Here is a 23,511-nt window from a genome sequence, read left to right as displayed (position 1 = left end):
TCTTTTTAATTGAACCTATTCTGTGTACACAGTGTGTCCATAAAAGCGCCTCCATCATTAGGGTTTGGTGATGCAAATGAGGGTGCCCCCGCTGTTTCTTTCTCCCTTTATAAAGTGCCCTTTCAATCAATGTTTGGGACAGGACAAGAACCTTGTGACTTGCAGCTTGTTTTATTCTGTGTGGCCACAAGAGGACTTTCATTCATTCTAGGGCAGCTTTATAATGACATATTATCACAGACAGTACCTAGGCTATTCTTTCTACTGCAAAGTACGTGGTAGGTTTTCTGAATTCACCACAGACTAGGAAAGCCATTTTATCTGGCAATGATGCCTTTAATTCAGGCATTTCTCTGAATTCCATTATGAAGCCTTTGTCCTTTCACTTCAAAGTAAACAAACACACTCATTGATCTTTAGAGGGCTATCAAATTTTACTGTAAAACACATTATTGCCATATCATTTTCTTCAGTTCTCTAATAAAGTTATTTCACATTATTCAATTTGTGACCTGCCTTGTACAGTGAAATGTCATGAGTCTTCTTAGAGTGACTTAGAGTCTCACAAGAAGTAGAAAAATAAATTTATTTAAAACATGATGGAGTTCTGACTGCTAACACATTATAAATTGCTCGATTTTAAATGTCTGAACTGGGCATGCTTAAAATACAAGGGCATATTTCATCAACGTTTATACAATTTTTCAGTCGACTTTTCCCAGCGTTTCACTCATCATCAGATGAGAGAGAGCTTGTCAGGAAAAATTACAGTTAATGGTAGTTAATGGCGGCTAAATTCAATGTTCTTGTTTTTATTTTGTTTTACACTTGCTGGAAATAATGAAAGTATTACATGAACAACCCTTATGCTGCTTGCAAAAACACGTCCAGTTCCAGTGGTAGGTAACAAAAAGCTTTATCAGACTTATAAAACAATCTATGTAAATGTATTTTTATGTTTTATTTCATTCTAGCCATTAGCTAGCCTGAGCTAGGAAGTAATTCTATGATATATCTCACAGCAGCAATTTGCTGTACTATGCCAAATTAATCTGCATAAATCTACCTGTTTCTAGGACACTAGAATGGAGTTCATGGGAAAAAAATCTGTTTATATGGTTGTGTTTGTGGAATTTGGGGGAAAGTCAAGCCATTGGTCTTCACCTCAAATAGCAAGGCTCTCCTGCCCAAAAGAAATGCCTGTTATCTATATTAACCATACCACCAACAAAACTCCTAGTTATCCATTGCTAAAACAGAAGTTACAGAGGCAGAGAAGCCTTTCCACCTTTCAGCTAATCTCAAGTCACTGAGTTGGATCTCCAACCAGTTGGAGGAGAATATTCTGTTGAAAATTGTGTCAGTTAACCATTTGAAGCCAATACACTCTGGGCTTTCAGGGTAAGTCAACTGGCAGAGTCAAATTCAACGATTATGCCACTTCTCTTTGAGTTAAATATCTCTCATCAGCCACGCACCAAATGATGACGACTTGCTCACAGTACACTGAGGCTTACCAATGAACACGCAGTGCCACATCAGGGCATCTTTGAGCCCTAGTTTGATACTGGTTAATTGATTTTTCTCTTGGCTTTCATCAGAATTTGGGGAGAAAAGCAAATTAAGGACCTTCCTCCCCAAAGCCAGGTCCACCTGAGGTGGATTTGTCAGCAGAATTTTATCTTACAGCAAACATAAGAATCTTCTGACTTCTAAGAATTTAATTTATCTTCTCTTTGTAGATGAAAATATACATTTCTTCACACACTGCTACCCGGATTCCTAGCATTGTTCCCACCCTACCCATTTTCTCCCTGTGGACAAATAAAATTGCAACAGCAAGAGAAGGCTCAACTAACAGTGAAAAGCATCCCTGCAAAATGATTACCTCAATTTTACAAGATAAGCCAGGTATCTCTACCTACTCTTGGTATTTCCTCAAAGAATAACCATAAATCTAGACTAGGAATACCCACCAGAAGTTTACTAGTATTCCTTTAAATGCCCTTGAAAAAGTACATGTTGCTACTGCCTGGATAATGTTTCAATCTGAGGTTCCCCAGACCTCAGTGAATAGGCAATCAATCAGCCAGATTTTGCAAACATTAAATAAAGTTGAATGGCCACTTCATAGCGCAGGTAACCAAGATAATGGAAAGTGAGTTTAGCTAGATGAGGTGTGAGACCATCAGCCACTTTTCTCCAGCAACTTCCAACCTCAAGGAGAGTACAGTCTTGTAAACTGTACTTTTGTACCAGCCTCTCAGCATTTTGTATTTTCATCTTTGGTATTTTCTGTAGATAGTTCTTCTATTGTCAAGTTTCTAAATTTAACCCTACCCAGTTTGCTGAGAAAAAATATTTTCAAATCATGTCTCTAACACCATACATAAAATAAACAAAAGTAATGATTAATGAGAAACTCTAAAGTAAAATGTTAATTCCAGAAATAAAAATTTCAATATTTGTCTTCATAGATATGATAAGGTAGCTGTTACAATATAGTCCAAATACAATCACTGAGCCATCTCCCTGTGTACAAATTCCAAACATGCGTATTATAAATATTAAGTATATACCAGAAATAAATATAAAAAAATATGTAATTGGTGAGGGAAGAAAGAGTCAACTAATTGGAGCTCATATCTGCTACCCAACAATATTTTGGGTGTTTTCATATTCAATCAAATAATTATCTGCTATCAAGCTTCAGATAATGTGAATGAGATAAGAAATAATGAAAATTATAAATTGCTTGTGTATTCATTGTTGTTGTAAAATGTGTTCAATACTAATGTTTAAGTCAATAAAGTAATTAAAATGATAATTAAATGAAGTACTGTGCACACAGAAACGTATTTGCTTTAAGTGTGTAGATCAGAAAACCAGAAATTCTAGTTCTTGCCAGTTTAACTATGTAGTAAATGCTTCTCATAATAGATCAGTTATCAAGAAAGTGCTTAAATAAAGGACACATTCTTGGCCTTGTTGAAAATATAATTTGGCTGTTTCAGAGGGACTGTATCAGCTCTGGATTACTGGCGTTAATAGAGCCAAGCAGTGCACAGAAAATGAGGGCATAATGGGAAGTCCTTTCCTTTAGACTCTGGATTGTGTATAACGCATCACCTCCTCCCATCATTTTTTAAAAAATATCTTCTTAATTGCATTTTTTCTCAGTCTAATGTTATGCGTGTTTGCATTCTCAAAACACATTCCCACAGAGGGCAGGGGAAGGCAGCCCAGAGCTGGGCTGAGTGGCCTCAACAAGCCAGCTAGGGAAGACACAGTCTGAAGTGGACGATCCACATGCTTAGATTTGAGAGTTGACTTCATTACTGCATTTTCAATAATACTAGCATTCAGAATGGTCTCAAAAGTCACCCGGATAATAGGACTATTATCTCTCTTGGCAATATTTAATAAAAAGCTCTTAAGCACATCCAGTCCCTGGTTTTATAAAACATGGCAGCAAATTATCTCCCAAGAATGTTCAGTGAGTATGCAGTGTTTTTGTCTCTATTCAGCCAGCTTTTCTCTTCACAGTGAAGGAAGATGATCCCAGCCAGCCACCCCGGAGACAACTTACAGTTGCAGGTGGTCTGAGGGGGGAAAAAAAAACAGACAAAAGGCTCCTCACAAAAGAAATCTGGGTGAAAGTTGGTGGAATTTCAGAACACCCTCCATATTATCAATACAAAAATAAAGCCCCCAAAATTTTGAAATACAAATTATCTGTAATTTCACTAAGCTGCCTATAAGGGATATTTGATTTAAAATGTATTTTCAGATGTGGCGGGGCAACTGGAGTAAAGGTGGAGTGAAGATGGCAAGATAAAAGATAATGAGCATCCATACTCCAGGTAGATATTGAAGCTGAGTCTACCTATGCACAAAGAACTCTATAATGGTGTAGTTATCTAGATTGGAGAGGCCCAAATTATTCCACATCATGTTGGTAGAGATTCTGGGAAAAAAAATTCTATAGCCAAGTTAGTTTGAAAAACACTTCATATTCTACACCCCTCTTGTAGAAACACAGTGAGCATTTGCATATTAAAGGCTCAAAGAATTCCTACAATGAAAAGACTTGTTAGTTTTTTTTAACCCGCTGTTTCCCAAATATGTTGGATCATATAATTCCCTTTTTTGCTGAATACCAATTAATATTTCATAGTAACTATTTCATGATAAAGGATTTAGAAAAAGAGAATCTAAATATTTCACACTTAAAATAATTTTGCCTCACACATACACATAATTGATAGAAAAATGAGGTTATTTTCTTTTCCTCTGATTTTATTTGCCTCAACTATTCACATCATTTGCATGGCATAAATAAGACCATATAGCCTAAGCTTCCAAGGAAAGTTGTCTGATATTAATAAGTAACTTTTAAAAAAGCACAGCAGCAACGCAATTTTCAATTAGAAGATGAGTCAGTATACTCAATTTCTCAAAATAATCACTTAGTGACACATACATGATTCTCCCACTGACCTGCTTGGTGGCCACAAATAAACACAATTGGATCTTTTCTTTTTAAATCTTAGAAGCTCAATTTGTTCTCAGACATTATCTGAGAAAATTACATTTTTTAAAAAGTCTGAAATTAATGCTTTATAAATAAAAGACCCAGGATTAACTCTGTACAACCACTTCAGAATTACCTTATGTAAAACCTTCAAAGTTGAAGTCCATGGGAAAGTTAAAAAAATGTGTTTACTCAAGCTGTTGGGGTGAAGCCTTAACTGCTTAGATATATTTTAGGGGCTGCTATTTCTATGCAGAAAAAAAGTGACTTCCCCTAATAAAGTTTCTTAGGAGAGTAGAAAAGCCATATAATGTCAATTTACATATTGCTGTAAATGTTCTTGTGTGGTTTCACCCTCACCCTAACAAAGATTAAACACATTTGTTTTAAAAAGCAAAGCCAGCCAGCACACTATTTAAAATATTACCGTGAAAGCAGGGAGGTGCGTCTTCTGTATTCAAGATGTGCTTATAGTTTCTGGATGCACAGATCTCAAATGACGCTGCACAGCTCAGCCCTAGCTCTTTTCCAGCGTCATTTTGCTCTATTCAAAATGATGATTCCACGTAACATTTTCACATGGGTTGCCAGGGTTCTTTAGAGAATTCATGTTCTGTGAGGTGCTACACCACACTTCCAGTTACTGATCTGTCCATTTTACCTTGGCTGTGCAAACAAAGGCTACATTCCTTTTCAAATGTTATGCAAACTGATCTAATTTTCTCAATTTATTGTTAGATTTTCAGCTCATGGAATGTGTCTGTGAACCAGACAAATTTAAGGGGAAAGAAGGGACTCAAGGATTAGATTCCCATGAGAACAAGAACAAGGCCGTATTTGATCGGCTGCTGCTGAAATACGGCATTTTGATAATCAAGAATGAGCTTTACAGAATTAGCTTTTAGGCAGCCAGTGGCATCTCCATCTCAACTTGTGTTAGCAAAATCTGCTGGACTATAAATAGTTAATATTAAAGACAAGCAAACTATAAACTATCGACTCAAATTTTTTAAAAAAATACTTCTCCTTTTTTATCCTATACAAGTAAGCATCACTTGGCACCATAGATTTGTTACTGGAAAGTGCATGGGATAGCATTAGGAGAAATACCTACTGTAAATGATGAGCTGATGGGTGCAGCAAACCAACATGGCACATGTATACCTATGCATCAAACCTGCACATTGTGCACATGTACCCTAGAACTTAGAGTATAATAAAAAAATAAATCAATTAATTAAAAAAGAATAAACGACATAAAACAGGTAAAGAGCTTAGAATACTGCTTGGCATGTCAGATGTGCTATATAGTGTTTTTAATTTTTAATTAAATATTTTAATTTTTAATTATACATTTTAATAATTTTTAAACAAATATTTGTCTACATTTGTTTTTCTGTTTTTATTTTATTCTTCATAAAAACTTAATTTTTATTCATACAAACTTTCATTTCATTGTATGTAGGAAAATTCCATTTGTTTATAGAAACATGGCATCTTTTTCAATACAAATGTTATATTTCAGTTGTTTATAGTTATTCATCTTTTAGAACTTCTGGATTTCTGACTTAATTAAGAAGGACCCTCTCCCCTAGATTGTAGAAACAGAGTTCCAAGCATTTTTACTAAAGGTATTTTCATTGTTGTTGTTTTATATTTTATATTTGTATCTTTTTTAACTTTTATTTTAATTTCAGGGGTACAAGTGCAGGTTTGTTACGTAGGTAAACTCCTGTCATGGGGGTTTATTGTACAGATTATTTAATCATCCAGATATTAAGCCCAGTAACCATTAGTTATTTTTTCTCATTCTCTTCCTACTTTAATATATTTAAATGTGATAGGAAACTACCTTTGTTTTCTTCTAAATGGAGATCTAGTAGTGCCAGTATCATCATTACATATCAATTTTTTTCTCTTTGAATCAATGTAATGCTGTTGTTACATATTACATACATATATAGGGAGAGAGATTGAATTGTCTCTTCTGTTGATCTAGTATCTATTTTCATGCTAATAATGTATTGATTTTGTTAAAGCGTATTGTAGTTTTTTCATATATCTAGTAATGAAAATCTTTCCTACTGTTCTTTCTTTTCATTTACTATGGTTGAGCATTTACCCTTTTAGTATATGAACTATACAATAATTTGTCTCATGCCAAAAAGAATCATTTTGAGGAATTCTAATTGGAATTGCATTATAAATTAATTTTGGGAGAAATAACACTATAACACTTCTGCTATGAGAACATATATACCTTTCTAGTTCTTTCAAACCTTGTTTATGTACTTCGGTGTTATTTTATAGTTTTTTAATGTAAATCCATATAACTGTTGTGAATGAAGTGGGGTTTTCTTGCATCTCCATTTCCAAGTACTTATTATTAGTTTGAACAAAACGAATTGATATTTGTATGTTGTACATTATAATATTGTGTATTAATTAGAAAAAATACTTTTGCTTTTTTATCCTATACAAGTAAGCATCACATGGCACAATAGATTTGTTACTGGAAAGTGCATGTAAATTGATGTTTTGAAAATCAAACCATATTGTAAATGCATGAGATGAGCTTACTATTTAGAGGGAAACTATGGTGAATCATTTTCAAAGTGAAGGATTCTTTTTAAGGGTGAAAAACTACCTTTTTATCTGTATGGAAATATATGCTAGAATTTCTGTGAGAGGTTTGCTTCAAGTGGGAAAACATCTATATATGATTTTCTTTTTATCTCCCATGTAAAATTGTGTATTATAATCATTCAGTAATAACCATCATGCAGCCAAACTACACCATAATAGGGTGGGCATGTGAATGTGCATTTTCTCTGTTTTCTCATTATGGGAGACTGACATGATTCATCCACTTTACCCCTTGCTTTCCTTTTAAAAGGAGAAGCTATTGAAATTCTATTTATAAGAAACGTTGCTTTGAAATCTTTCCTCATGTATCCCATTTACGTTATTGGAATTAGACTAAAAAAAGAGTTTTATACCACAGGTTCAAATTTGGGAAATTATTTAATGGCTTTAAACCAGATATGTTTTGAAATGCTTTGATGTGCATAATGAACTGCCTTATCATCTCCCCTCTCTTCTCATCCTAATCTCATCAAACTTTTTAATATGGAATTAAAAGACAACAAACCTGAATTGAAACATAATTTGAAAAGTCAAGTTACTTTAGTTGAGATCTAAAATTTAAGCAAGAGCATTGGAGGGTTGAAAGCTTAGGAACACCTCCTATTATTCTATAATTTTTGAACAGGTTTCTAGGAGTTTTGCATAAAACTTATGTGAAGTTTGGTTTTCAAGAGAGTTGCTCTTCCACAGAGGTAGTCTCTTAACTTGGATAAATCATGTTGTTCAGAGAAAGATCTCTCTCTGAAAAACAAAAATCAGTGTATTTATATCCACATAAGTACTCATTTGACCTGCAGTTTCAGGCTTTTATAATAAAAGTGCCAGTAGCAAACACAATGAGTATGAAATGCTAAATTATATGAAAAATTGGAAAGCTATAACTGAACTTCTTTTAATTCTATTTTATAAAGTTAATTTATGTTGCATTCAGAATCAAATTGCTAAAGACATTTCTTTGCTCAGAATTGTTATCTTCTACAACTATTTTAGACCCTCACTTAATATACCACTTAGTTAAATTCCTTACAGTGTACATTTTAGCAAGGGAAGAAAAAATGATTCGTCTATTGGGCCTGAAGAAAGTATTCTTTAAAAAACACACAAATATTTTTAAACAGTGCATATGTACTTTATGGCATTACTCTCTTAACTTAGTGCTTACGAGTATGGGAAACAGTACCTTGGTGAATTATTTTTCATAGTTCACTCAGCAATATGTTTACTAAGCCACTGTTACAACTATGCACTTATATATTTTGATATACAGTGTATTCTACATTAGTGTGTCTTCTGAGATTCCATTCCTACTCTTAAAACCAATTTAAATGTTATTTTACCTTCCCTCCTAGCAAAAATAAGGTTAATTCTCAAGGGTTAATAGTCAAGCCTTATCGTAATTAAAGGCAGAGTCTGAAGTGTCTTTTTAGACCAAGGAAACAGAAGTAGATATGCAGCAACAGGAACAATTTGCCCAGGCAAGGGAATGGAATGTTTATTTCACAGAATGGCAGAGGCTATTCCATGAAATTTTATTGACATGTTTTCTTATTCAGACGACTTCCTTTATGCATGCAAAAACTGGGAATAAAGAAAAGAATTTGTTCCACCTGATTAGAAAATTGACAACATGCTTGTTATATATTTCAAAAGCAGTTTTTCATATATATGTGAACCACAGAATTAAAAATTATGACTCAGCAAATTATACCAGTGGTGATTTTACAAAATGTGAGAGGATGTTTTGGGACTCAGGAGCAGAGAATATCTCTGGCCAAATTCCTGTCCTCCATTGTTTTCTCCCTCTTGTATTCTTGTATTTGCTCCACTACCTCTGAGGAGGTGGTGCCATTTCCCAAGACAATCAAGTCCAGGTGGACTCTGAGATTGGAGAGTCCATGGGTAGGCAGGAGGGCCAGGGTTAAGGGGTCTCTTACTGGAGTCAACCAGACATAAGTTCAAGTAATGAATCCATCATTACTGGCTATAAAAATTTAGCTTCAAGTCATGAAACCCAGTTCTTCATTTGTAAAATGTGGGTAACGGTAGTGCCTACATCTCACTGGGTTGTAAATAGTCAATTAGCTAGTGGATATAAAACACTCAGCATAGTGCTTGGCACTTAATAAGTCCTAGCTTTTATTTTTAGAAATAACTACAAACTAAGAGTACAATTGTGACTGGGATAAGATGCTGTGTTGAGCTCCAAGAACGAGAAGACTGTGCCTAGTACCAAATATCTATACATTTAAGACGTTCTAGCCATTCTTTGTTTTTATCCTCTGGGACTGGGGTAGGCAGGTGAGCCAAGGAAATGTTCAATGTAGTCCAGGTTTGCTCTTTCTGGAGAGGTCTTTCTCCAACTGGAGACCTCTGGGACAAGTCAGGGAAGAGAGTGAAAGGCTTCCCAAGTGACTGAAGATTGGAATGTAGTACAAACAGCACTCACTCAAAAGACTCAGTGATCATGACCGCAATAATCATGAACATGATTAATAAAAGTGTTTATCAAAAAATTCCTACGTACCAGGCACTGTGATAAGCACTTCAATCATTTAATCGTATCATGTAGGTGCTATTACTACTCACCATTTTACAGATGAGGAAACTGAGTGATAGAGAGGTTAAGTAACTTGACCAAGATCACATGGCTAAAAGATGGTGGAGCTGGGATTTGAACCCAGCCATTCCAGCACAGAGCCTGTCCACTTCAAGTTCTGCATTGTATTTGCTTTCCAGCCACATACATATGAGCACACATATGCACACATGCATGCATTTATATTTCTTCTTACGATACTACTTTTAAAATATGGATTAACAAATATAAGAATACAATATTTAAAAAAAAGTTACTTCAGAGCAAGTGACACCTTCTGGATCATTCTTTCACTTTACACTCAAGAATATTTTCTGGTTATCTGTTGTGTAGTAGGTTCTTCCTGTACCGGCTGCTGAAGAAATAGGGGAGTGGATACCACCCCTTCCACTCAGGTAAATAGATTTGTGAAACTATTATGTTCAGGAGAGTCAAACATCCTGCTACCTGTGGTTCCACAGTCCTCACAGGTAGAAGACTGGTGATATGTCTTTGTTGGGCTTTCATGGGCATTGCTTGGGTTTGGAAGTATATCACAATTCAGTCGTCACTATCACAGTCTCCTTAGTACCCACGCTGACCAAACCAAAATGAAGAGACTCGCAAATGAGGTGAGAGGCGATTCTACCCAAAGTCTTTAGATAGAACTACCCCTCAAGGTACTGTCCCACCACTAGGTGGTGAGAATTCCTATGGCTCCACATCCCTCAGTCCCAACTACTTGATATTGTCCAACAGATTTAATATTTGATATCTGTTTTGTGCAAAATAGTATACCAACATTCTCAGAGTGAGAACATCACTTTTGGTCTGAAATTTTTGAGACCTTCAGAGAGTTAAAGAGTCATTTTCTATGTGTGGCATTAGAAGCACAAATCAAAATCCTTTTATAAGAATGTCGAAAAAAATAAAGAAAAGAAAAAGGCCCAATAACAACAACAACAAAAGTCCTGTTATGGAAACACAGATACAGCCACAACTAATTATAAAGCCAGACACACCGTGATGTGCTTGCCTTGGGAAAGACATGCACAAAGGAATTCCTGAAATTGCAAGTGCCACTCACCCTCATGTTCCTGAAAGCCAAGAGACCCTATGTTGCTTGTTTCATTTCCCTGGCTCTGGGAGCATCAATATGATCTCAGCTTTTATGCCACTAAGCAAATCAGTGACTGCTGGCCCTCTTGATCTGAAAGTCTGTCATGCGGCTGCTCTGCATTCCCCAACTTCCCAGAAGCCTGGGCACAGAAATCTGTGGTTTGAAAAAGGTTGCCATTTGGACCCTGGGGCCACTGGGGTTTTTCTGGGATAGATCCCCAGCAGTATCTTCTCTTAGTATCGTTACATCTTTACTGTGTATCTTGGCTTCTTGCCACCGTGAATACTGAGTATCACATTTCTTTCTGAATAGCATAAATTGAGCTGAAGTTGATTTAAATCTCATGCAGAAAACAGCTCTGCTTCGAACTACAGCCATTTTTGTGTTAAAAATCCATCAAGATATAATCTTTTTGTCCCTCCTCCCCAAGACACACAAACTCTTTCTAGCAGATGGGAAAGGCAGATTATTTCAATTAAGAGGCTGTCGCTGACAATTGTATGCAACCTTTCTTCAAAGTTCATGGCAGCAGTGCACTTTTACATTTCTTAGTGACTCTGTCAGGATCTAATTTTCAAGGTACGGTTACCATAGTAGCAACCTGAAATTTTAATCCAGTAGTAAAGGGCAACACAGGTCACCCAGTTTCAGGCCCTCTTCAATATCAAAATTTTAAAGCGCTGCATAAAAGCATGAAGATAAAGGGTAGACCTAGTCCCAAATCCCATTCTCTAAGACAGTGAGATTGTAAAACGTATGAGATTTTTCTAAAGTTTTCAAATTCTTCTACAAGTGCTAAAACTATTACTAAATTGAACAATGTTTCCTTGGGTATAATTGAGTGGAAAAATGCCGTCACTCTTCTCAGCAGCATGAAACATCCAGAAACATGCTGGGGATATCTAATTAGGAGAGGAGTGGCACACATAGTTATTGATTTTAAGTCTATCGCTCTCTGACAGCATTGGCAGTTGATCTTTTGATTTAAACTGCATTGACAGAACACTTTTGAAAAATAATGGCCAAGATTAGCAAAAATAGCACTCAACTAGGAGTCAAGAAACAGGACTGAGCTTTGGCAACACTATTACCTGTGTGAGCTGGGACGCCTCACTTAGGTCACCTGGGCATGACTTTCCTCACTTCTAACATGGAAAGAGAACCAATGAGAGCAGGTGACTGCAAAGCTCATTCATGAGCTCATCTGTTGACAACACAATTCGCTACAGAGTCTGAGTAATATATCATCTCTGTTTTATTATATGAAGAAACAAAGGCTCAGAAAAGCACCAAATAAATTCATCAAGTCACATGACAGGGGAGTGAGAGCGCTGGAACTTAAGCCACTCAGAAATGGATGCCCCACATCTGTGACCTCTCTAGGACAATAATGGCTCCCTCCCCTGTCTCCTTGCTCCAGAAATTGAGTGAAGACCAAATCTAAAAGATTTAACAATATAACAATATATATTATGTGTTATATAACAATATGTGTAGAAAACACATAATGCCAAAGAACTAGAAAGTAGTATTATTAAGATTATTTTGTTATTTTTCCTTCGTATTTAACAATTAATAAGATTTCAGTTGAAACTTTATGTGGGTGAGGCAAACAGGGTATTAAAAAAGGTTTGAATTTTGTAATCCAAGAATCCTGGAGTGAAATTTCATCTCCCTCAACAACTAGCTGTGTGATCTTGAGCAAGTCATTTAACTGTTCTGGGACGAAATTTCCTTCTCCATAAAATCAGTTTAATCTTATCAACCTCTCAGAGACATTATGAGCCTAGAAGGTGATTAAACAAGTGAACCAGTGAAATTGCACAGTGGAAAGAGCACCAAGCAGGCCTGACTTCAAATATGACTACCAGCATTGGCTGTGCAGCCACAGGTGTTTGGCATTCTCTCTGAGCCCTTGAGAGTACAATCCTGGGAGCGATGATAGTGGTGACGATGGCGATGGAGATAGCGAAATCTATCTCACGAGGTTGCTGTGAGCATGAAATAGCTGATGCTTATAAAATATTTCATGGTGCCAGGTATATAGTAGGTTCCAAAAGTGGTGGTTGCAATTACCCAAGAATACTGCTCACATCCAGATTGTTTTCTTCGTTTCTTTCTGTACCATGTGATATACAAAAATTATTTTGGAGAAACCTAGAATGACCCTTTCAATTTTTAGATGGCCTAGACAATTTCCATATATTATGAGGAATAGGTACTTTAAAAGATTTTTCTTTTGAAAAATAGAAAAATATTCTATGTACTCACACCAGTTAGAATGGCTATTATTTAAAAGTAAAAAAAAAAAAAAAAAAAACCAGCTGCTGGTGAGGTTATGGAGAAAAGGGAACACTTACACACTGCTGGTGGGAGTGTAAATTAGTTCAACCATTGTGGAAAGCAGTATGGTGATTCCTCAAAGAACTAAAAGCAGAACTACCATTCGACCTAGCAATCTCATTACTGGTTATATACCCAGAGGAATATAAATCATTGTACCATAAAGACACACGCACACGTATGTTCATTGCAGCACTATTCACAATACCAAAGTCATGGAATCAACCTAAATGCCCATCAAAGACAGATTGTATAAAGAAAATGTGGCACATATATCCCATGGAATGCTATGCAGCCATATAAAAGAAGGACATCATGTCTTCTGCAGAAACATGGATGGAGCTGGAGGCTATTATCCTTAGCAAACTAGCACAGGAACAGAAAACCAAATACTGCATGTTCTCACTTACAGGTGGAAGCTAAATGTTAACAACTTATGAACACACAGAATCAAGCAGCAGATACTGGGGTCTACTTGAGAGGAGAGGGTGTGAGGAGGGAGGGGAGCAGAAAAGATAACTATTGAGTACTGGGCTTTATAACTTGTTGATGAAACAATATGTATAACAAACCCCCGTGTCACATGCACCCCCAAACCTAAAATAAAAGTTAAAAAAAAAGAAAAAAAGAAGAAATATTCTATGTAGTTACAAAATTGAAATCTCCATCTGGAATTTTTATAAAGTGGGCTTCTTATGCCAAAACAAGTAACTCCAGAAATTAGGCAATGGAGCTGTCAGAGTTATAGGTTGCTAAATCGTTAGCTTCTACTCTTCTCTGGATACTTTTCTCTCACTTATTGCTCTCTCAGGGACCCTAGAACCTTTGGCAAGGACAAGGCAGTATACTATGGGGTTGTACTGTAGATCTTCAGTGTCAAAAAACCACAGGGTAGCAAAGAAAATAAATTTTATTCTTTTGGTTTTCAGAAGACCTACCCCAACCCCATCTACTCCATCCCACCTACTCTGTTCCAGTCTTGGCAGCATATTTGTAGATGTCAATCAAATAGCTTTGAGACCTTTTCCTTTTTTGGTCCACATTGTTAAAGTGGGTGGATGAACCACAAAGAAAGGCATTTGTCAGATTCTTCAACTGATTTTACAGCTGTAATTTTGTGTGCATCTGCAGTATTCTACCAACACTGCTCCCTACTCGTCAGTGTAAAATGGAGGGGCTTTAAGCAACTCTGAGAAGGTGTCAAGAGCAGACTATTTAAACCTAACATTCCCAGTAACCTAATTGTGGTAAAGGATCTGGCTGTTTGTGAGATGCTTGATAGGAGGGAAAAACAAAATGAATAGTTCAGAAGTAGATATTTCTTCTCTTCTACTCCAGTCTCAGTTGGATTTTGTTTGTTTCTTTATAAATTCTAAGCATAATCCATGGAGCTTGTCTACACTGCTGTTATATGTTCTTCATCTGGGCCTGGAAGACTTGTCAGGACTCTGATGAGTTCTGGCCCTGCAGCCATCTGGGGAATCTGGGCACAAGGCAGCATATTCTGAGAATGCAGAATCCTGGCTTCTAGTCCCAGCCCTGCCACTCCCTAGGTGGAGGACTTTAGGAAAATATCTTCCCCTCCCTACGCCTGGTTTCTTTTCAATTGGCTATCTAACAGGAATGCTGTGCCACTCACATGGGCTAATGTATTGTGTGAAAGTGTGTTAAAATTATCATTCACTGTGCACATGAAAAGTATCTCTGATCATAGCACTTTACAATGTAATAACTGAAAAAAGAGTGTGCATATGTCTATGTGTGCATCTCATTAGATCAGACATTAGAGTGACCTACTGTTCTGGGATACAGAGCATATGTATGCATGTGTGTGTGTGTGGGGGTGTGTTATCACAACATTACATTCAATTATACAAGTGAATTTTTTTTAACTTTGGTCCCTTGCTTATCAATTTCAGTGCCTTCCACCAGCATTATTTGCTTCACTCCCAGTTACTGTTTAAAAATGCTGAGAAGAATTTGGAAATATGCCGCTGTGGTTGATAACAGATGGGGATATTTTTGAAAATTATTTCACCATGAGGATATAAAGCCACTTTCTAATTATCAAACAAGTTGGTAAGCATGAAAGGCAATGGATGAGTCTCTTATAAAAATAGACCCAAATATTAGTTTTCTCTTCACTTTAATGTGGCACAATGGACATTTCTGAAGGGATATGCCACCAAAATCAATCTTATATGAATTTTATTTTTGTGATGGTCTAAGTCTCTTGCAGGAATAGATCCTTCAGCCTCACTGAAGGGAATATTCTAGAGTCCTGGTGACACAATCTGGATGCAGGCCCTGAGTTGAGGACAGATCTGTCTTCAGTGTCCATGTCAGCATGTGTAGTATATGCAAGACCTAACTCAGTTATAATATTTAGATCTAATACTTCCCCTGATTTAAACCAAAATGGCATTGCCATTTTGGCTTGCATTGTGGTTAGTCCATTTTGGCCTAATGCCTGGGCAAGATCACACCTGACTGCAAATCAGTAAAGCCACCTCCAAATGACTCATGGGATGGCTTTAGTGTAAGTTAAGAGCATATGTTCTGGAGTCAGTCCTGTTCTGCCTCCCTCTTTGTTACTGTGCCACTTTGAGCAACTCACTCAATGTCTCTGAGCTGGGTTTCTACTTCTGTACACTATAATGATGATGAAACCCATGGGATTGCTTGTAAGGAGAAAAAGTGCATGGGAAGTGCCTGGCACATAGTAGGCACTCAATAAGTATGAGTTAGTTGGGTTGCTGGCATTGTCGGTGCTAGTCTTATCTTCACTAGACCATGAATTCCTTGAGACAATGATGTGCAGTGTTTCACCCTGAGTTACCAGTGTTTTAGCCCAGAACCTTACATGTAGTAGATACTGAATGCATATTTGTTGAAAAAAAAAATGAAATCTAGTAGAAAGGAAGCGATGTTTGCCTTTTCCCAGACAGAAAAGAGAGAAGGAGAGAGAGGGGTGGTCAGCGGGGGGGGGGGGGGGGGGGGAGGAGAGAGAGAGACATTTGCTTTCCATTACAGAGGTGTCTCAAAAGCCATCTGAGATACACAAATCTTATGATAGACTTAGGTCCATGAACACCACCACAAAAATCAGATCTAATCTTTCAACTATGATGGCTGAGCCAACCCATCTCTGTTTTCAGCTTTTGTGATAGAAATGTAAATCTACAGCTCTCTTTGAAGGGAGCCCCCATTTTAGATCTTGGTACCCATCAAGCCCCGGCAGCTTCAGTGCTTCTTGATGCAAACATTCCAAATGCCAATATTGCTTGTTGTCACATTAGCCAATATACAATCCTCAACATAAAATCCTCTTGATGTCTGATTACTCTTCTCAAGGACCACACGCTGATTCATTTCAAACTGTGAATTACCTTTAATTCACAGCTTGAACAGGCTGCCAAATTTTGTTTTCTCTGCTCCCAGGTGGCTGCCCCTGATGCAGTGGAGAACTTCCAAAAATATATTAAGTCCTTAGGAAAATTTGGCAAGCTCAGAGATGCAGGGCATACAAGACAAGTTAAAAGCAAGAGTTGGTATACTTCTTGATTTAAAAACCAAAATGTCTGCAACTAGTAAAGTTACCAAGATTACCAGTTTATCAGGAGAGTTAGTTTGGCTTTTATAAGCCTCAAACTGATTAGCAGTATTTTTAAATTCCAAGTACCAAATCATGTATTCTGATTAAGAATTAATCTGATTAAGAAAATAACAGTCATTTCTTCCTTGCCCCATTACACAGTCAATTTGCTACCGAAATTGCATCCAAGTAGCAGATCAAACATCTACATGGGGAAGAATATATGAAATTGCTAGAAAGTGGGTTATTGCTCTGCAATAATGCATTGCAGTTCTTAAATTTCAAATCAAAATCTCGAAGGAAACATTTCCAGTGATGAAGGCTTTGGTAAAAGGATGGCCAGGGTTGTAATGAATATCAATTGTTTTTTAGCAAAAATATTTTCAAAATTGATCTAAAAATAATGTAATTCCTGTATTGGTTATAGCAATCTGGAAAACATCCTCACAGTCTTTCTATTCTCTTTGGTAATGAAATTTTCATAGCACTTACAGAAAACTTTAGAAATAATGACATTTTCATTACATAAAACAATTTTGACCCAGTTTTGTGTCATCGAAAACAGAGCGGTATAATTTCTTGTGGGACTACATCCCACCAGGTTGTGGGAATGTTGTGTCCAGGTACAAAAGGAAAACTTTGGCATACTAAATCCCTGAACTTATCAAATCCCGTGAGGAAAGGCAACTCAGCAGGATGAGAGACAGCTTTGAACTCACAGGGCCCTTAGCCTGCATTCAAACTTTCTCACTGAGGAGCATTATGACTCAGAGGGCTCTTCTGTATGTTTGTAGCCAAAATATCCATTCAAAATAAGTGGGCATGGCCAGTCTGTCTTCCTACTGGACTGTGTACACTTCAGGAGGAAGGACTGTTATTCTAGCTTTACTTTGCTCATCTGTAAGATGGGAATAATTTGGAGCACCTCCACGATGCCTGGCAAGTTTAATAAGGCAATGTACATAAAAGCACCTGGCACCTGTTCTCAACAGCACAATAATTATTATTTGTGTCTGTCATTCCTGTGATAGTATAGTGCCCTCTCTTCCTAACTATTGCTACAATCAAGGATGTCTTCATGTGACATGCATAACAACCACCCACATGTAAACTCAGGCTGGCCTCAACCAATCTGTCTCCATAAGACCTTCCATCAACTCTCTGGATCTAGAGTTTGGATGTTTTAAAACATATAGTTAATACCATAAGTTGGCAAACTGGTTTTATTAAAAAAAACCAACATTATGGCTATATTAAGATTTTATGGAAACTATCCAGGCATTCTCGACAGCATGGTTTAAAACACAGGAGCTGCTCAGTTAAATGGGGGTCTGGATGGTTTCCACCTGGACATAGTCCAAATGCTAACAACCAAGTTTTACAAAGGAGCTTGATATTTGGAGCTGCCATCTCCTCAACAGTCCTCACAAAACTGAAGTTAAGAACTAACTGGATGTACACCCTTGAGTTCATGGAACCTGCCTGAAAGTCCTTTTCGGGGCAACTTAATAACATCTTATCTATTCCTATGTATGATGTCCCATAAAAGACCAACAAGGTCATGCATTTGGGAAGGCCACTGAACTGACAGGTAAGTGGCAAGATTTATAATACACTAGATGAATCAATCCAACTGAACAAAGAAAATCCAAGTTCTTCACCTTGGTTTCTGTTTTCTCCCTCACTGCTCTTTAATAACTTCATTAAGAAACTACAGGTGGCGGGCACCTGTAGTCCCAGCTACACAGGAGGCTGAGGCAGGAGAATGGCGTGAACCCGGGAGGCGGAGCTTGCAGTGAGCCGAGATCCTGCCACTGCACTCCAGCCTGGGGGACAGAGCGAGACTCTATCTTGGGGAAAAACAAAGAAAAAGAAAGAGAAACTACAAAGCAACACAATGTCTGGTGAGTCCATTCACAGTCTGAATCCTGTCATTGAAATAAAAAGATCTCTTTGAGACAGAATAGACAGCCATGATATTACTGTGTAAACATACAACTCCACAGCCCTGAGAACTACAATTTCACCTTCTTATGCCCACGCTTCACCCTCTTTTTTGGGACAGAGACATTTTTGGGGGAGATTAGAAACTCCGTTTGATTAAGAAGACCTAGGTGGGGCCTGTTCCAAGACTGTAACATAGCACAGAATCATAGAGGCTGAGGGGTGGGAGACCAACTTCTGGTCTTTTCTCCTCCAGAAAGTATTAATGATTAAAGTTAAATGTATTTTTATGTTGCTAGATTTAATTACTAAAAAGTATAACTGCTTAAATTTGAACACTGACAAGTGTTTGTTGGTGTACCTGCATGTGTAGACACATATACTCATTAATTTGTTTAATTCCCTTTAACAGACTCTGTCTGTATAGTTTAAAATAAAAATAAATTCTCCTGTGATTTAACCTCATATCTTCTGGATACTAGGTCAGTGCTTTCCCCCACAATAACACAACTGACACAAAGGAGGGGATTAAACCTAGGTCTCCAAACTTCCCCAATTCAGTACTCTTGCCTCATAAGCATTCAGAGTTCCAGCTGAAGCAGGTAGGATGTCATGGCATGAATGGACACTGATAAAAAGCACTGTATGCCAATGCACTATACTGAGAAGGAAAATACCCAGTTTTCCAAAAAGCCAGTCATATTGTTGGGGTCAGGCTCAGAGACAGCAGTAATTGTCAAAAAGAAAGAGGGAGACTGGCTAGTTGCAAGTTTATACTCAGGCACACTGTGGCCAATGTTTTCAGACCTGGTGCCCATGTGTATAGTCCTTATAAACAATGCATACTCCAATGGAAGATCTGCATTTTGTCAACTAGGGAAAACAGGCCAAGATGAGGAAAAGTAATGAAGTGTCCCAGTAATTAAGGGATTCTGTTTTACAAGACTCTAATCTCTCTTTACTGCACTAAGTGTCAGGAGTGTGCTTGGGACACTTTCTGGCCTTGGGTCTTTCCTGCATCACGGCTGACTTACGGGCTGCTTCTCACCAAGGCGCAGGCATTAGCAGTCTGTCTGCACTCAGAATAATCTTAATCACCTGGAGGATTACCCTGCCAAATGGAAAATCCTAGGAGGTGGTTTAAAAAGCACACTGTAGTTAAATGTGGGAGAATGATAGTAATGGCTAAGCCGATAAGTTGGAAGCTAAAAATAAAAATAACTTTATTACAATTCTGATCTGTCCTATGTTAAACCCATACCCTACAGTAAGAAGGGAACTTATTGCAGCTAAAATCTGATGGATGGTGCTTGGACTTTAGATCAAACAGACAAAAAGAGAGGAGCTCATTCATAAAATGGACTCAGTGTCTTCTAGTTTTACTGATGCTTCATATAGAGTATTTTAGTTGTATTGGCTACACTATATATTACTGTGCTACGAAGTGCTGTTCTCTGGAAATGCAGCCTCTAACTATAAACCACAATTGACGAGTTTATTTCTGTTAGTTACAAACTACTGAAACATTGCATTCTATGGTATATATGGAAAGCAGCATATTTCACAGTGGGAGCCTAATACTCTTGCTTTAGGAGTAAGATAATTTTACATAGGAAAATCTATTTTTATATTTTTTTCAAGTTTGGAAACTTGTGTTGATTTCCTAAATGCATGTGAGTGTGCGTGTGTGTGTGTGTGTGTGTGTGTATGTGTATGTGTGTGAATCTTATTGACTTTTTAATGGGGATGAAGTGAGGCAGGAGTGAAAGCAGGGAGGATTAGATCTATTGTTTCCTAGAATAACAAGGGGGAGGGCAATTCAAAATGTGATTAATGGAAAAGCTAAAACATACAGCATCAAAGATGATTTTGATTTTTGTGTTTTCATATAATTCGGTCCTTAAATCGGGATTATGGTTTTATTATCCCCTTCTCTTGTTTTTTCTTGCTTCTTAAAATTGAGAATTCTTGGTTGTTGAAATTGAACTTTGAATTAGAAGGCACAGATCAGTCTAGAAAAGCAAATAAATGGACCAGTGATGGGGTCAGGGCTTTGGGGCTTTGCTACTGCACTGCACCAAGAACGTAGAAATGCCACTTACTTTCTCAAATCCTCAGTCTATTTGGGAGTCATTCCCAGTTTTTTTATGCAATTATTCATGATCTTCCAAAAGGTGAGCAATTCACTTCAAGTGTGCCATTAGGCCACTTGAATGTCATAAATTATTTCATTTTGAAAAATTCCAAGTATGTGCCTATTACACAAAAAAATCGACTTCCATTTTCTATTATTAGGTATGAAAGAAGTTGTGAGAGAAATAATACTCCCTTGATACTCTCTTGGACAAATGGATATTAGAAAATCTACAATAGTTAATATGAGGAAATTGGTTTCTCCAAACCCCTCCTTCAGTTAGCATTAATAAAAAATGAAGACAGTGCTGAATGAATTGCAGGGCCCTGGCTTCTGAACTTCAAACTACCATCATGTAATATCTTATTCCGGCTCTTCCTGGATGCCCTTGTTTGTCTTTAATATACAGGTGCCTGATGACCTGCAAATAGTGAGGTCTTGGGCTGACTGGCCATAGCAATCCACTCAACATTTCATGTCCAATCATGGCTGCTTAGATTCCCTCGTCCATCCTAGTCAGTGGTGACTGAATATTGTGTAAAATAATGTCTTTAGCTGATACTATACAGTGTTTGAACTAGTTAAAATGTGGGAAACAAGCCATCTAGAGATTTATTTTTTCACTGAAATCACAGTTGTTTTCGTATCCCAGGTATTGACCTGGTCTGTATTTACAAACTTAGAGAACTTAATGGTGATCTCATTAACTTTTACTGTTATTTACTTATTATGGGTCCTATAATCTGTTTGTATTACTCCAAAATTAATATGCTAAAATCCTCACCCCCAAGGTGATAGTATTAGGACATGGGTATTTGGGGAGGGGATCATGACATGAGAGTTGAGCCCTCATGAATGGGATTACTGCCCTTATAAGAGGAGGCCTGAGAGAGACCCCTCACCCCTTCTACCATGTGGGATTAGAGTAAGAAAACAGCTTTCTATGAGGAAATGGTCCCTCACAAGATACCCTTTATGCTGGTGCATTGATCTCAAACTTCTCAGGCTCCAAAACTATGGGAAGTAAATTTCTATTGTTTATAAGCCATGTTGTTTATAGTATTTGTTATAGCAGTCCAAGTAGACTAAGACAATGGGAAATTTGATTCTCCCCCCACCCCAACCAAACTACATATTATTATGAGTCAAGGTTCATAGTTTCAAGGAGCAGAGGAGAGAACAAGATTAGATCAGCATTGAGGCACTGTTTCCTTGCCAAATATCCCCAAAAAGGCCTGATTTGGAGATCCAACTACTCACGATTTGAAAGACACTGACTTTGTAGAAGCTCTGGTGGTTGGGTCATTCCACTCTGAAAAGAAAAGATATAAACAATTACTGTTCATGTTCCTACTGTCAAATGATTATTCTGAATTAAATTGATCTCCAAACATGCAGTCCCCCGAGTTACCTTCTTGAGATAAGTAACAGATTAAAAAAAAAAAAGGGGGGGAACCAGTTAGATATATCACGGGACTGGAAGTCATTATGTTAAGTGAAAAAGGCCAGATACAGAAAGACAAACTTTACATCTTCTCACTTATTTCTGAGAGCTAAAAATTAACAATTAAAATAACTTTTTGTTATTGTTGTTCTTTCATGTTTTAATGATTTTAAGTAGGAAAAAGGAAAAAATGAGGGAGCAGAGGACATGGATGTTTGGACTAAGAAGGATTTTCAAAACCACTTACTTTGTAAGGTGAATCCTGGGGTCAGATGCTGCGATTCCTATAAGGAATAATATATATGACACAAACATTAGTTAAATGACACAAGGAGAGTAAGAGGTATATTAATTATTGCTGAAGATATAGTTGACTAATGTTTGCAAATAGGAAGCTGCTGTTAACAATTCCATTAATTAGGCTTTTGTCTATAGCTCTATTTGAAGGATAAACATTTGCCAGCCAAACCTGCTGCAACATGATCATAACTGCCATTTAATCAAAATTATGCAACATGATCATAACTGCCATTTAATCAAAATTATAAGTAAGACTGGTATCTATTTGGAAATGTGTGTAACATGGGAACAAATGACCCATATGTGTGAAATTGAAGTGTATAATTTCTCACTTAGCTGGAAAACGATGCCTCTAAAAGAATAAAGAGGACTTGGTTCAAACAGATGATCATGTTTTTTGTAAAACTGTAAACAAAATGATAATTAATAGATCTGCCCAGTTTTTCCCTTTTATAGAAACAGATCCAACTTTCTATGACACATGTGCACAGATGTACCTCATTTTATATATAAGAAGTGTTCTTAAAACTACATTGCAAGTCTGTCGAAGTATAGAAAGCAATGTGAAATGTTAGTGGACTGTGTTATTTAAAGGAATTTAAATTTGATTTGAAAGTCACACTATACACAATTCATTCACTGTTTTGAGAAATCCAGATTTGCACATGCTGCCTTGCTTGGAGTGTGGCACACCTGTGTGGATACTGACAAAACTTGAAGGCAAAAGCATTACAGTAACGTTCAGGGCACACATGGCACTGTGTGGATGGAAGAGAAATGGTACAAACCGCAATACAGGCATTCCAGAAACTGGAGACAATGAATTCAAGTAAATACAAGAATTAGTTATATCAATCATTGTTCCAAGTAATCTAT

General features: G+C 37.1%; 1 protein-coding gene across 6 annotated transcripts in view; it reads right to left on the bottom strand.

The window, feature by feature from the left end:
- The window catches only part of AFF2 (ALF transcription elongation factor 2), a 500,047-nt gene that overhangs the window by 135,079 nt on the left and 341,457 nt on the right, over positions 1 to 23,511 (bottom strand). For 3 of the 6 annotated variants that reach the window (NM_002025.4, NM_001169122.2, NM_001170628.1), the window contains 2 exons: positions 22,583 to 22,619; positions 22,152 to 22,203 (listed from right to left, as the gene is read on the bottom strand). In NM_002025.4, coding sequence (NP_002016.2) covers positions 22,152 to 22,203; positions 22,583 to 22,619 — 89 coding nt within the window. The remainder of the gene's footprint in view (positions 1 to 22,151; positions 22,204 to 22,582; positions 22,620 to 23,511) is intronic. The other 3 variants (NM_001169124.2, NM_001169123.2, NM_001169125.2) reach the window with 1 other exon arrangement.

Source organism: Homo sapiens, chromosome X, assembly GCF_000001405.40.
Source record: "Homo sapiens chromosome X, GRCh38.p14 Primary Assembly".
In the NCBI taxonomy this organism is placed as follows: Eukaryota; Metazoa; Chordata; class Mammalia; order Primates; family Hominidae; genus Homo; species Homo sapiens.
Note: the sequence above shows the minus strand (reverse complement) of the source record. Positions and strands in the feature narration are given on the sequence as shown.